At 38.2% G+C, this 13,732-nt stretch overlaps 1 long non-coding RNA gene across 6 annotated transcripts in view, besides 2 other annotated features; it reads left to right on the plus strand.

Moving 5' to 3' along the window:
• MEF2C-AS1 (MEF2C antisense RNA 1) overlaps window positions 1-13,732 on the plus strand; it is a 584,252-nt gene that overhangs the window by 377,492 nt on the left and 193,028 nt on the right. The gene's annotated exons all lie outside the window — the stretch shown is intronic.
• Window positions 10,919-11,058: an enhancer, noted in NCBI's record as "active region_22768". NCBI's record gives its function as "activates an Ori minimal core promoter by ATAC-STARR-seq in GM12878 lymphoblastoid cells {active_cell/tissue: GM12878}" and the evidence as "EXISTENCE:reporter gene assay evidence [ECO:0000049][PMID:35858748]".
• Window positions 11,089-11,138: an enhancer, noted in NCBI's record as "active region_22769". NCBI's record gives its function as "activates an Ori minimal core promoter by ATAC-STARR-seq in GM12878 lymphoblastoid cells {active_cell/tissue: GM12878}" and the evidence as "EXISTENCE:reporter gene assay evidence [ECO:0000049][PMID:35858748]".

The following is a 13,732-nucleotide window of genomic DNA, read 5'->3' on the forward strand; positions in this document are numbered from 1 at the left end:
CTAAAGACTAATACATTTTTAACTTATTTTTTACTCCTTTTCACTGTTTATTGTTAGTAATAGTGAAGACAGGAATATGTTACTGAGGATGACTTTGCCAGAAGGTCACTTGTAGTTTGGTTGGTTGGAATTCAAAGCATATTATCCACTGTTTAACATCACTCACCAGCCCCTAGGAACATATTTAGTCCATATGTACCTGCAATAAGTTCTATCGAATATAACTACCACATGAGAGAGTGATTCTAAGGGAAAACCCACTAAAGAAATTCTGAGAAAATAAAATTTGTGACTTATCAGAAACAGATATTTCCTGGTGTAACATGTAAGAGTTTTTCTGTGGTCATTTCCCACAACATGTCAGGGCTGCTCTCTAAGGAGAAGAATGGGAGCTAAGATTAACCCTGAGGCTTGGATGTGGAAGGAATGAAGGACAAAAGTACAGATACATGAGACAGTAGAGTTGAGGGCAGGTCTGGGTTGGCATGGGTGAGGAAGAGGGATATAGTAGTGGGTGACTATGGACAACCAGAAGACAGGGGGTACCTGAATGATAATAGACATGAAGACTGAGAAATTGAAAAGAGAGGCAGAAATTAGGAGGGAGGGGCCAAGTTGTTATTTCCTAACTTCAGCAGAATTGTGGTAGTGCCAACATTTTGCCCACCTACTGAAAGCCATCCTGGAAATTGTCAGGTAATAGGAGCAGAAAAGAACATAAGATTAGTGAGAAAAAAAAATGAGGCTATGTTATGTGGAATATATGATAGAATGTATGCTTTACATGGATAGAGAATATGTCTTGTTCATTGCTTACTTCCCAGTGCTTAACCCAGTTCCTTGCACTCTGTAGGGGATAAATATATGTATTTGTGTATTATATAATTAATAAATAAATGGGACGAGCTTTATAAGTGGAAGTGGAGTTTTAAAAAGTCAAATCCATGGGCTGTTTGCAGCTGATTAAGCTACTCTGATGGTTATAAGTTAAGATTCTAGAAGAGTGTGGTTGTTTTGAATTCAGGTGCCAACTGTCACCATCTCTGTAACAATGGGCAAGTTTTGGTGTCGGTTTCTTCTTTCATGAAATGTGGGCAATTATAGTATTTGCTTCATGGGATAATTGTGAAGATAGGATGAGATAATGCAAAGCATTTTGTGCCTAGCACATAGTGAGTGCTCAGTACATTGTAGGTGTGGTGATGAGGATGGTGACAACTTTGCTATTGAGAGCAGTTCCCAGCTCTACAGAGAGGTTTCAAGTTTTCCGAAGATAAGACCACACTCTGCCCTTGCCAAATCTGAGGCAAGAAGAGAGTGATCTCTCTGAGAATCTTCTTTAGCCATCTTGGAAGGCTGTGTGTGGCCCCGAGTCTGGCAGGGACAGAGCTGAGCAGAGCTGTTCACAGCAAATCTGCGATGATGATCTTCTCATCTGTCTTCTAAGCTGTAGGCGGCTCCTTCTTTGGGAAGCAAGTTATAATCAGAACTTGGAACAAGCTACCCTCCAAACAATGCTCTCATTGCCTTTTCTGCCATTTAATTAATGCCAGTCTAATTTTATAGAAAGTATATAAATATGATTTATGCATATTTGTACCTATATTTTTCTGTGAGGTTTCCATGAGGTACATAGCCATGTAAATCATATCCTTCTGATAAATACCTCTGGCCTGAATACTTAATGTTATTTTTTATAGCCACATTTGGGTAATTTAGCAAATAGAGGGATGGATATGCTTAACCTAACCTTCAAGTTCTCAATGACTAGAACTAAGAGGTGAACCTCTTATTTTTTTCAGTTATATTTTGCTGGGGGATTTAGGTAGATTTCAGCTGATAGCATTCAAGATCCGTTTTGCTAATGCTTTCTTTCCAGTTCTTGTCAATCTAACTCAAGAAACAGACAGCAGTCTATGGGTTGCCACTTGAAGGTTATGAGGACATGATCCATACATTCTGTTTTTAGCTTCACTTCTAGTGAATATAAAATCAAGTCAGGCCATGATTTAAATGGCCTCAAATCCTGAGTAAGTTTCCTTACAATTTCTGCAAGTTTTAGCAAGGACCAGTTGGGTGTAGTGGAGTGACTTTGCTGAACTTCCCTTGCACTGTATCTGTAAGCATGGATATCAAAGAGCAGATTTCATTAGAAGTAACTTTGGAGAATTGGGAGAAATGTCTTTTCTTTTTACCAAACATGGATTTTAAAAATTACACAGAGATAAGCATTGTCAAGTCTCACGAAGTGCAATCATAAGCAGAAGGCTTGAAACCTGTTTTTGCCTAAACCTTTATTGGATTTAGTAAAAAACAACAGTAATAAATTGTATTCAAAAGCACTTTGATCCCTTTGCAATAGTATTATTACAAAAGCAGGGTCTACAAAACATTTCCCCTTTTTTCATTTGGGTCAGTTTTCCATAGGCTTCCCAAATCATCTAAGTCTGTGTTGATAATTCCAGAGACAAAGGGTTGTTCAGGCTGTAGTGCCTGACACTTGAAACTTGGTATTGTTAGACAATGATTGTAGCACTAATCTTGCATTTATTTTCTTGAAATTTTCTGTGGGAATAACAGAATCCAAAAGATGAAAATGCAAAAATGTGTCATTAAAACACTTAATACAAACATACCTATTCTATTTTCCTCCTAAAATTTTCAGATTTATTTAATCTTTTCACTTTATTCTTTGTTTCCCCAAAATAATATTTTAATGTTTGAAATGCTAGTAGTCAGTATCTACAATTGATACTCCATAGGGATGTAAACAGTAATAACACGGCAGTAAGTTGAGGGATACATCTTTGGCTAAAACTTTAGCCAAAGATGTATATATCTTTGGCTAAAAGAGGGATATATCTTTGGCTAAAAGAATAATTCTTGAATGGCTATAACTGCATTTGATTTTTTTCTGATGTTACCCTGTCACATAAAATCTAGTACCTCATTGATTCTTCCTCATCCTTTTGCCAAATTATTGCCCCAGAATAGAAGATTTTAAATATTCTCCAAATTCTTTATTTAACAAATATATAATCATATTTGTGATCTACATGACATAGGATGCATGCAAGTTATAAAGCTGTAATTTTGCTTTTATTTTTCAACAACCCCTCAAGAAGTCAAGGCAAATAGAAGAGTCTATTTTAAATGTGACGACATTGAGGTGTAGAAGGTTAAATGGCTGACTTGCTTAGATGGTCTGTGACATGGCAGCTAGAGGGAGTCAGGTCTCCTGATCCCTATGTACAAGATTGTCTTTACTACCCTGTACAAAATGTTAATTGTCAGACAGACCTCTAAGAGGTAGAGGGTTGGCCAATTCTGTGATGAAACAGCTATAGGGAGCAAAGGATACTCATTCTTTGAAGTTTATTATGGCATTCCTGGACATCTAGCTCCCTGGATGCTTCCCTGAATTAGTCTTAAGGTGTAATGGTGATTTCAGGCATGCTAGAATATAGCATCGGAGACCTGGGGAGGTCCAGGTAGTGGACTGGAATAGCTGCAGCTATTAAATATCTAGGTCATCCTTTATATAGGGTTGTAATGTACACTCTAGCTTCTGACTTCAGTGCTGATAGAAAGAGGAAAAAAATCCATCCTGGTAAAATGTAGTCAGACAGCAGTTTGTCTTTCCAAAACATTATTAGGTATTATTACAGAATGTGAACACCTTTCATTCCTGACAAACAGGAAATGTATGCTGCACTACTGGTATGTCAATCAGAGTGATAGCATCAATTTTATGGTTTTTAATTCATCCCCACCTCCTGCCGAGCCTTTTGCTCATCCCAAATTATGAATCTTAAAAGGTGCATGATTAAGAAGAAAAAAAAAATATGTCTCTGCCTGTGTGAACTCCTATGTGAAGAGCATGGAGCCAGATGTTTAAGAGATTTGTAAAGCAGGTGCTGACCACTCAGTGACTGGACAAGCAACTTACTTTTCCTGAAGCTGGGAGTGCCCCTGCATGCTTTCACTGTGGTACTTCACTAGTAGCTCAAGCAGATCTTTTTTAATATGCATTGCCACCTTTGAATTTGTAAGGAACGGAAAGAAGATAATGTATTTTAAATGCTATATTTGTCATTCCATGATGCTTCAGAATTACGTTTTCAATTTAAGTTTTGAGTGTCTATTTCTTTAGCTGTGATGTTTTGTTGCTTTTTGATATATTAAATAAATACAAAGCCAATCCTGGAGCCTAGCTTTGAATGAATCAGAGCAACGTCTCTCACAATTCTTTTCTTTCTACCCCTTAATTCTTTTCTTCAACACATAATGAAAATAAAGAGCATTGTCAGTTCGGTATAAAGTAAGACTGTTTAAAAATAAATAACGTGTGTTTATGTGGTGTGCGCACACACATACACACACAATCTACTTCATAACAGGGGGTTTGGGAGCCTGGGGTGTCTGAATCTGTCCTCCCATGCTCCTCTCTTGTTTCTGGTGAGGAGCCATTTTTCTTGTTTTTCTATGCAGCTCCACCTGGACTCCATTTGCTGCCACAAACTCTGCAAATATCACACACTTATTTAAGATTTAGGAATGTGATCTGATAGTTACTGATTGGAAGGTGAAGCAATAATTAACAGTTGGTCAAGGTCAATTTTCTCTCCTGATGCTGACTCCTAAGAGAATATTTCATCGTTGACAGACAATTCTCTATTTGCTGATAGCACATGATGACATATTTCATGGATCTTTAATAAGAACGCTCACTGTGTGGTGGCCTCCATGTTTAAATCACGCTTGGCCATGTCAGCCTTAACCTTAACATTTTTAATGCTTGAGTGTTCCGGCAAGAGTACATGGAGGCTTCAAGTAACTCACATGGCATTTTCTTGTACAGAATTTCTTATTCTACTTTTACCACAACTTCTTTATGATTCATAATTAAAGTATGCTGGTTCTCTTCCATGCAAGACAGCAAATATAAAAAAGAAGCAAGAACACTTCTTTTTCTGGTGGGGCACCAGCATAAAATATTAAGTTTTGAGGGTGATGATAACTAAGTATGTACAAATGTGGTTATTGCAGTAAGGCCTGCCTTATTGGGAGGCAATGCCCCAAAGAAAAGCTGCCTTTTCCATTTGAGAAGACAGAAGAGATCAAGGATCCTATCAAAGGAGTCTCCTATGAGGGCTTGGTCACACTCTTCATATATGCAGTGTTAGCACTTCCAAAGTGAATTTACATATTCTATCTCATTTGATTCCTCAGTTAGGTATTCTGCAACTGTATTATGGGCGAGAGAGCTGAAGCTTACAGATGTTAAACAGCTTGCTTAAGGTCACGTAGATGGTAAGTGTTGCAGCTGGATTTTGAACCCATGTTTCCTGACTCCAAATTTAATACTTTTTGTTCTATCCTATAGTTGCTAACTGTTAGTACAACTTATTTGGCACTTTTTGTGTTTAAATTCCCATTAAATTATTTTATTATGGATTCCTCAATAACACTGACATGTTCTATAACAGGGATTTGCACATGGTGCACACAAAATGAGTACTTTTGATTAACTAATGGATTAGCCGGTTTTCTTCATTCTCCCTTCATGTGGTATAGCATTTAATAATATCACAAATGTTTACAGTCATTACAAGGACTTGTTAGATTTTGAGAACATAAGGTAGTTGTTATGAACTAAAAGTTTTGTCCCTCAGAATTCATGTGTTGAAGGCCTAACCCCCAGTGTGGCTGTATTTAAAAATGAGACCTCTAAGGATGTAAATTAAGGCTAAATGTGGTCATAAAGGTGGGCTCTGATTTGACAGGATTAGTGTCTTTATAAGAGGAACGATCAGAGAGTGGTATCTCCCCCCACTCTCCACCATACACGCATAGTAAAAAAAAAAAAAAGCCATATGATGACATATGAAGCCATGGAGACAAGAAAGACTTCTACAAGCCAGGAAGCGAATCATCTAGAACCTTGAACATAGCCGCCTAACCTCCAGAACTGTGAGAAAATAAATTTCTGTTGTTGAAGCCATCCAGGCTGTTGTATTTTGTTATGGCTCCCTTAGCAAACTAATAAAGTGATTAAAGCCACACTTCATTCAAGCAGCTTGTTTTCCTGTGGAGTGACCGGAGAATAGCCCTGGAGTTATAGGTGAGTTGAATGTATACTCTTGTGCTTTGTCCTTTTAGAATTAAATATCAGGGTTATCATTCCATTGGGGTGAAAATACCCTCAAAGTCAAAACAGCAAAGTTAATGTTGTTCAAAACACTCTATACTTTATAGAATTGCATATAGTAGTACCTGAGTCTGCATGGTCCTGGGGTAAAAGTGAGAATGATGGCAGAAAGCACTTCAAAGAGATGAATCTGTGTCTTGAATGAATAGTAGTTTTCCAGAAAAGTGGAAGGAAGTGCATATTCCTCAGAGAGAACAGTTATGTAACAGTTGTATAAGTGAACATGCTAGAACCCTAGATTCTGGAGACTTCAACTTGTTACGGCCAGAGCTCAGGATGTACATAGAGGAGCTGTAGAAGATAAGGTTGAAAAGACAAGAGCCAGTTTTCTAAAAATCACTGTGTGTTATGTTTAAAAGTCAGACTTTGTAACCTGGTGGAGGACTAGGGGAGGGATAGCATTAGGAGAAATACTTAAGGTAGATGACGGGTTGATGGGTGCAGCAAACCACCTTGGCACGTGTATACTTATGTAACAAGCCTGCACATTCTGCACATGTATTCCAGATCTTAAAGTATAATTTTAAAAAAAGAAAAGAAAAGAATTGTAATCTGAATAGTTATACAATCAAGTTTTCAGTTCAGAAGGTTACTCCCAATGCACCGTGGAGATTGTATTGAAACCTGGTCTTGGGGTTAGGGCTTGGGATGGAATTTCAGGGAATAATGCTGGATCATAAATTCTCTGTGGATGGTAACAGAACCTTTGTCTTTGACATTACCTTCTTAGCTAAAAACTCAGTTCAAATATTCAGCCACTTCAGAATTCAAGTAACACTTCCTTCTTTTAGCTATGACATTTAAATAGCTCTTATTTCTGGGATAAAAGTGACTTTTGTTCTTGTGGATGCCACACATCATGGATGATACCCATGCTGTGGATCTCATCAAAACTTGAGTGGCCCCAAATGAGTGAGCTGGTGGCCTGGTGAGAAATCCAGCATTCTCGACTTCTTCTTTTTAACACTCTTAAGTTTCATTTTTATGAGGTGCCACATTTTGCTATGCTTTTAGCTGGACCTGCTTGAAATTTCTTAATCTGATGTTTCAGGGAGCAGTAAAAATAATAAGTAAACATGTTCCCCGAGCAATTAATAATGCAAGCCCTGAGCCCAACAGGATTCATCAAATACATAAACTTATCCTCTCCTGGTCAAGATGCTTTAGACTGGAAGTAGTTGAAATATGGGAGGAAGCTCATGCTTTTGTGGTGTGAATTAGATTCTGTGTGTATCTGTGTGCGCTTAGTGCATTTTTAAACTATTGTAAAAACACTATTCTTAGACTCGCCTGAGAGTAACTCACTTGTGGAAAAGGTGGGCAATTCTGTTTTGTGATTACTATGCCTTCCCCCTAGGTCATCTGCTCATCTTTCTTCTTCAAACAAATTAAAATATTAGTCCACTAGAGAAGGACTGTTCTCACTTTTATATGTCACACAGAATGTTTAGAGCTGACTTTACCTGTTAGTGCCAACAGCAGTGATGATGTGGTTATCATGACACCTGCAAATGCCTCTCTTCCTGTGTACTTATTATCAATCTGGGAATGTCGTCACTCCAGTCACCCCAGAATGCTTCCTTATGACTGCATTCTTACTGGCTGTAAGTAACTTTTTTACTCAACAAGGAACGGGCCAGATGGCATGCAGATATATGCTTGAGACTGGGTGAGTCTCATTTGTTCTCTATTTCTTGTTACTTACTGTCACTCCTTGGCTAACCACACATAAGGAACTCACCCTGTGGGCTGCTTTTTGCTGTGCATATCTAACGCGATTATAGTAATGTGCTTTTTATTAATGTTTTTGTTATTATGGGTTTCTTTTTGTCGAAGTTGTTTCAATCTGCCTCATAACTTTGTAAGGTGAAATACAAATAAATTTGATGGTGCAAACAGGTCAGCCAGTATACTAACATATAAATACAATGAATGTTGTCCCCTTCTAATTAATAACCTTGAACTTATTCCAACAATGATGTTACAACTGGAAAATAATTTTATTTAGGAAATTCTCTTTGAAAAATGATTTTAGAGCCTTTTCCTACCAATCAAAGCAAATGATCATTCTCTGAGGGTTGGTTTGATCTTCTATTAAAAAATTCATTGAACAAATAATTATTAGGTGTATAATCAGTGGCAGGCAGTATACCAGGAGCAAGGAGTAAGACAGACATGGTTTCTGCCTTCAAAGACATTTAAGATAAAATCTGAGATGAATGTCTGAGCCCTGGATAATACCTTTATTGATAAAAACGAGATGTGACTATACAGTGACAATCTGAACTGCCTCAAATGACAATTTTAAAGAAGAGATTTAAAACATTTTGAGTAATGGCAGCATCTCAGGAGTAACTCACACAAACTACTCAGAAGACGAATAGTCATTTTTTAAATGCATACAGTATGGTGTATAGAGTTTATAAAACATTTTTATATACATTGTATTACTCTCTTGCCACAAGAATCATGGATTATCAACCAGGTTTGAGTACTAATTTTCTTCACGGTAAAGTGAATGATCTCTAGGAGACTTCAAAGCCTGAAATTCTGTGATATTTATGTTGCTAATTTTATGCATTTACACGATATTGTGAGTTCATTATTTTAGAATAGTTCCCTGTGTTCTATCTGACTGAGGACCATCCTAGCAGAGATGAGCGCCCAATAACTTCTCCTGGGGGTGGTGGGTGCTGGCAGGAGGCCTCGGGCATGGAAACTCGACAAGGAATGAACTAGACTCACTCTCAGTAACGGGGTCAGGAGCAAAGGGTAAATGAAGGTAAAGTTTGAGGTGAGCGAGCTCCCCGGGGTGTGAGGGAGGTTCTAAAATATCAAGTTCAAAGGATCAGGCAGAGCAAGAATTAGACTCAAAGAAAAATGCTGGCTAGACAGATTAAAGAGGTTGAGGAGGCAGAACCTAGAAAGGCTACCCTGAAGAAACAATATTTCTTTGTATGGGATGATAGAGGTAAAGCCCAAGAACCATTAGAGTGAAAAACCGAAAGAAGAAAATCATTTTAAAAAAGATAGCTTTCCCTGCCTTAATCCCATCAGTGGTTAAACAATGAAAATAAAGAGAAAATGCAGCCCTACTCTAAAACTTCACCTCCTCCGCTTTCCCAACCAACAGCCCACTCTTTGAGAAAACAGAGTGTTCATCAAATAGAAAAACATCTTGATGATTGCCAGATAGAAAAACAAATATTTAGGGATTGAATTTGAGATTTTTCTTTATATTTCACTCAACATCTTGAGACCTTCTTTGTCCATATCAAAAGTAAGTTTCTAAGTCCAATTATTAAGTAGATCTAAAAATCTCTCTTCTGTTGAGATGTATACAGTTAGTAAAGATTCCCAGGAAGTTTGTACTGAGACTTTGGCGCGCACGCCAGCATGCGCGCGCGCGCACACACACACACACACACACACACACACACACACGAGGGTATAAGGGTGCAGGAGTAAATGGTGAGCCCTTCTAGGAGATTAGTGTGTGGCTGGGACCCTTTTTAACATCTTTTACTTTGGGCCCATTCTTTCAACTCATTTTTACCACCATGTATCAAGTTTGTGCCTGAGTCACTCCAAGCTTGCCCATCTGTGGGGGCAGCAGATTGTTCCAGGTGAGTTGAAGATACAAGGAATAAGTGTATGCATAAATAATGTGCAAAGGAAGCTGCTAAAACCCTGTTTCTAGAATTTTCTACTTCTATTTTTGTGTCTTTTTTGCCCCTACACACAATTAGTAGTGGTGTTTCGAACTCATCCAAAATTTGATTTTGCATGTTTTCTTGTTTACTTTTTAGTCCTTTACTGAAAGGTTTCTAAGTAGCTAGGTGTTTTTTCTAGTCTGCCATATTCCAGAGTTTTCACACCAGTAAGTCTGCTTACAGACCTTTTTGCTGTGCTGTTGTTGTTGTTTTCTTTTCCCCAACAAATTTATGACATTAGGTCACACTTTATTCGAGAAGCTTTATTTTCCATCTGCTCTCCGTTTTTGCTCTATTATTAGGCTATGCTTCTGGTATTCTGATCCCCCTTCATTTTCAGAACTCTTGTTGACGTCAGTGGGGAACCTAGGCAGAGGAGAGTGTAATGCTGAGCTTGGCTTCACAGTCCATTTTGGGAAAAGCGTCTGACCTCCTTGAGATGGAACTTCCGTTGGGTGGACCCCTGCTCATTTTCTACAGACAGTGGAGCCTATGCATAGTATTTAATGCAACCACCAGTACAGGATGATATACTTGCTCTACCACCCAAATATATTGACTTTCTGTTAAAAGGCTTTTAACATAAATTTTAAGAGATTAACAAAATACATCATAGGCTATTGCTGAGAATGCAGGGTTTTTAACTACGTTTCTCCTACATTGATTTTAGTTCATATATTTTAACCACCGCCTTATTTTACTGTACCTTTTAATTTGTTATTCATTTGTTTGAAACCAGAACTCTGCCAAGGCACTCTGGACCCACAGGAACTGAAATAGTTTGCCTTCATTATCTGGTAGACCTGCTCGAGTCTGTAGCCCCTGACAGAAACCACAAGACTGTACAAACTGGCAACTGTGGGTTTGTCTGTTCTCTATTGATTCTATTTCTGGAAAAAAACATGAACCAATGGGTGAGCCATGTGACTGTACAACTGACCCAAAGCTACCATCAGAAGTGGGATGGAGACCTTTATAGACAGGTCATGATGGGATCTCAACACTTTCCTGTCTGCTTCTTAAGAATGGCTTTCAGTAGCTTTGACTTGAAACTTAACTCCTTGTGTTCTGAAGTATGAAACTGGAGGAGAATCTTCATATTCTATAGCTTGTTATTTAATTTGGGAGACCATAAGTCAAAATGTTCCAAACATCTAATAAAATGTATAATAAAGACCAGATATAAGTTAACTTACAAAATAGCTTACTTCTTTCCTCCATGTGAATTGCAAAGCAACTCCATCAGAAGACTTGAACACACACACACACACACACACACACACACACACACACGTACTTTTCAGACTATGAAACTGCAACTGCTGTAGTGTTTCCTTTTCTTGAGCTTTGGTATTTGCGCTCAGTACTGATCCTTAAGTAAATAGAATGTAGGACTTCTATGTAATCAGGCCAAATGTAAGAGTTCTGGTCTTGGCTCCAATATGCTATGTGTCTTTGGTCTTCTCTCTTCTTCTCCATTAAATGTCAAATGACTAAACGATCCCCAATGTCTGTTCTAATTCTAAGAATCAAAGTGATTAAGAGTCTTTGATAGCACCAGAGAGATCTAGGTAGTAGAGAACACAGGTATGAGAGAACACATCCTATTAAACACACACGTGCATGGGTGCATGCACACACACACACACACACACACACACACACACACTCAACAGAAAAACCAAAATAGCTCCCCTCTCTTCCTCCCCCAATAATGACAATGCAGCCATCTGTTGGACGTTCCATTTTACTTAGCAGCTGTTCTCAGATACAGAAATCTGCATTCCTCCGGCTTGTGCTGGTATGCAGGCAGCATGTGTGGGTACTAGCATTTGACTCTCCCACCCAAAGGAATGGCTTTCATTGAATAAAAGTGATTGCAGAGGTTTCTTATTTCCCCATCACACAAATGCCTTTTTTTTTTCTGATAATAGGCATTTGAAGCCATCTCTGCTACTCTGTGTATTAAAATATACCCTGTTAGAGATATTCATATCAAGCAATCATCTAAAATTGAAGAGGACAACCAGGAAAGGCTTCAGTGAAACTCTTGCCTTGCCAGAAACTTCTACTTTGAAGGAAAGTGGGAGAGGTTGGAATATAAAGTTCCATTCTACTTTTATTTTGTCCACACCCCCAGCATTGCACTTAAGCACTGAGGAATAAGTATTGTTCAAAAAGAAACTAGGAGGCTTTCAAATGTAGCATTAATCTTAACACCAAACTAAATGAAAATATATAAGAGAAATATCCAAAGGGGATATGGAAGTAAAATCTTTTAAATATTCCATGTTCCTGCTGCTCCCAGACCGAACCTCTTCTACAGGCTGAAATTTTGTCTTCTGTGTGGTATATTATATAAAGTGGTATATCATTTAAAAAAAGAAGCAATTGAGTTGGGGGTTGGGAGGAGCTGCAGTTATAAACAACAACAAGAAAGTGTCCTACAGGCTCTGTAGACGAGAACCTTGGGTATAAAATTGGATCTGCTTTTGAGTACATAATTTAGGACATTTGTTACAAGATTACTGTGGTTTTCTATAAATGTTAGTTTGCTGTATTATTTTCCATGAACTAGTTTTCCAAAATGCAGAATATTTTGCCCCCAAAACATGGAAGCACTAAAGCTCGATGAGGCACTGATTCATGGGGTGTCACCCAGAAACAGCTGGTCAGCCATCTGCAGCCCCAGAGTCCTCTTATTTTTACTTTATTCAGCTAATTCTTTATGTAGAGGGGGAAGAAGATGCATAAATCCTGGGAGAAGAGCATGGCTCGTTTAAGAAAATGATGACTAACGCCTGCCCGAGACTGATATCTGGTGGCCTGATGCGCTGATTTGGAGGGGTCCGTTTCCTATGTGCATTAGGCTTTCAACTCTCTACTACGTGTGCATTATTTTCTGTGTATCCTGTTCTTTTGGAAAAGGAAAGAAATGATGATATGCCATTGATTGTTGCATGGGAATGGTTCCAGATTAGAGCACCCTTGAGAACCATAACCGGTCTTTTCAAAGCAAGCAGAAGAGCCTGTAGTATCAAGGACGAGCCTGGAAGTTAGACCTGTATGTTTGTCCATGGGTCCCTCATGTGCTTCTAAATTAGACCTTGTAACTGCCATGGATTCTGCGGTCAGAAAATGTTGGAGGTAAAGGCAGTATTTGACACAAACTAAAAGATATAGCATGATTCATAGCCAAAATCATGTTAAATAAAAAATACTCAGTAAATTTTTAGGCAATGCTGTTTTATTTTGAATTTGACATTAACTGTAGTAAAGTTGTGGATAATTCTATTAGAGTAGTCTTTTGTTTCCCTGAATGAGAAGGGGCCTTGTTGACAGGAGATAGATTGTTATGTTATCCCTTCCTTGTGCTACCTAAGGCGGTTCATTCAAATGACAGAGCCAGATGACTACGTAGGAAGGAAAACCTTCTTCCAATCATAGGAAGGAGGCTTTTAGGTGCACAGGTGTATGCCGCTTACAGGTAGGCATAATTATAGTTTAATCAAATCCTTGTGTGTCTCCGGAGACCACTTTTGGCATACCTTTTAATATTTTTCTTGAATCATCAAAATCTTTTACCCATTCCCCCCATATGTATTGGTATGTGCACACACACACACACACAATTCTTTCTTATTTTATTTCTTTGTCTTGGCTTGTGATCACTAAGGTTTTCAGTTTCTTTCATGACTTACATAGCCACACTAGAAGGTGAATCATTTTATTTTTACAGTTAAAAGGTAGCAAGATAAACTTTCATTGCTACATTTAACCTGTGTGGCATTATTAAACTTGGGACATA

This window comes from Homo sapiens, chromosome 5 (assembly GCF_000001405.40).
Source record: "Homo sapiens chromosome 5, GRCh38.p14 Primary Assembly".
Lineage (NCBI taxonomy): Eukaryota > Metazoa > Chordata > Mammalia > Primates > Hominidae > Homo > Homo sapiens.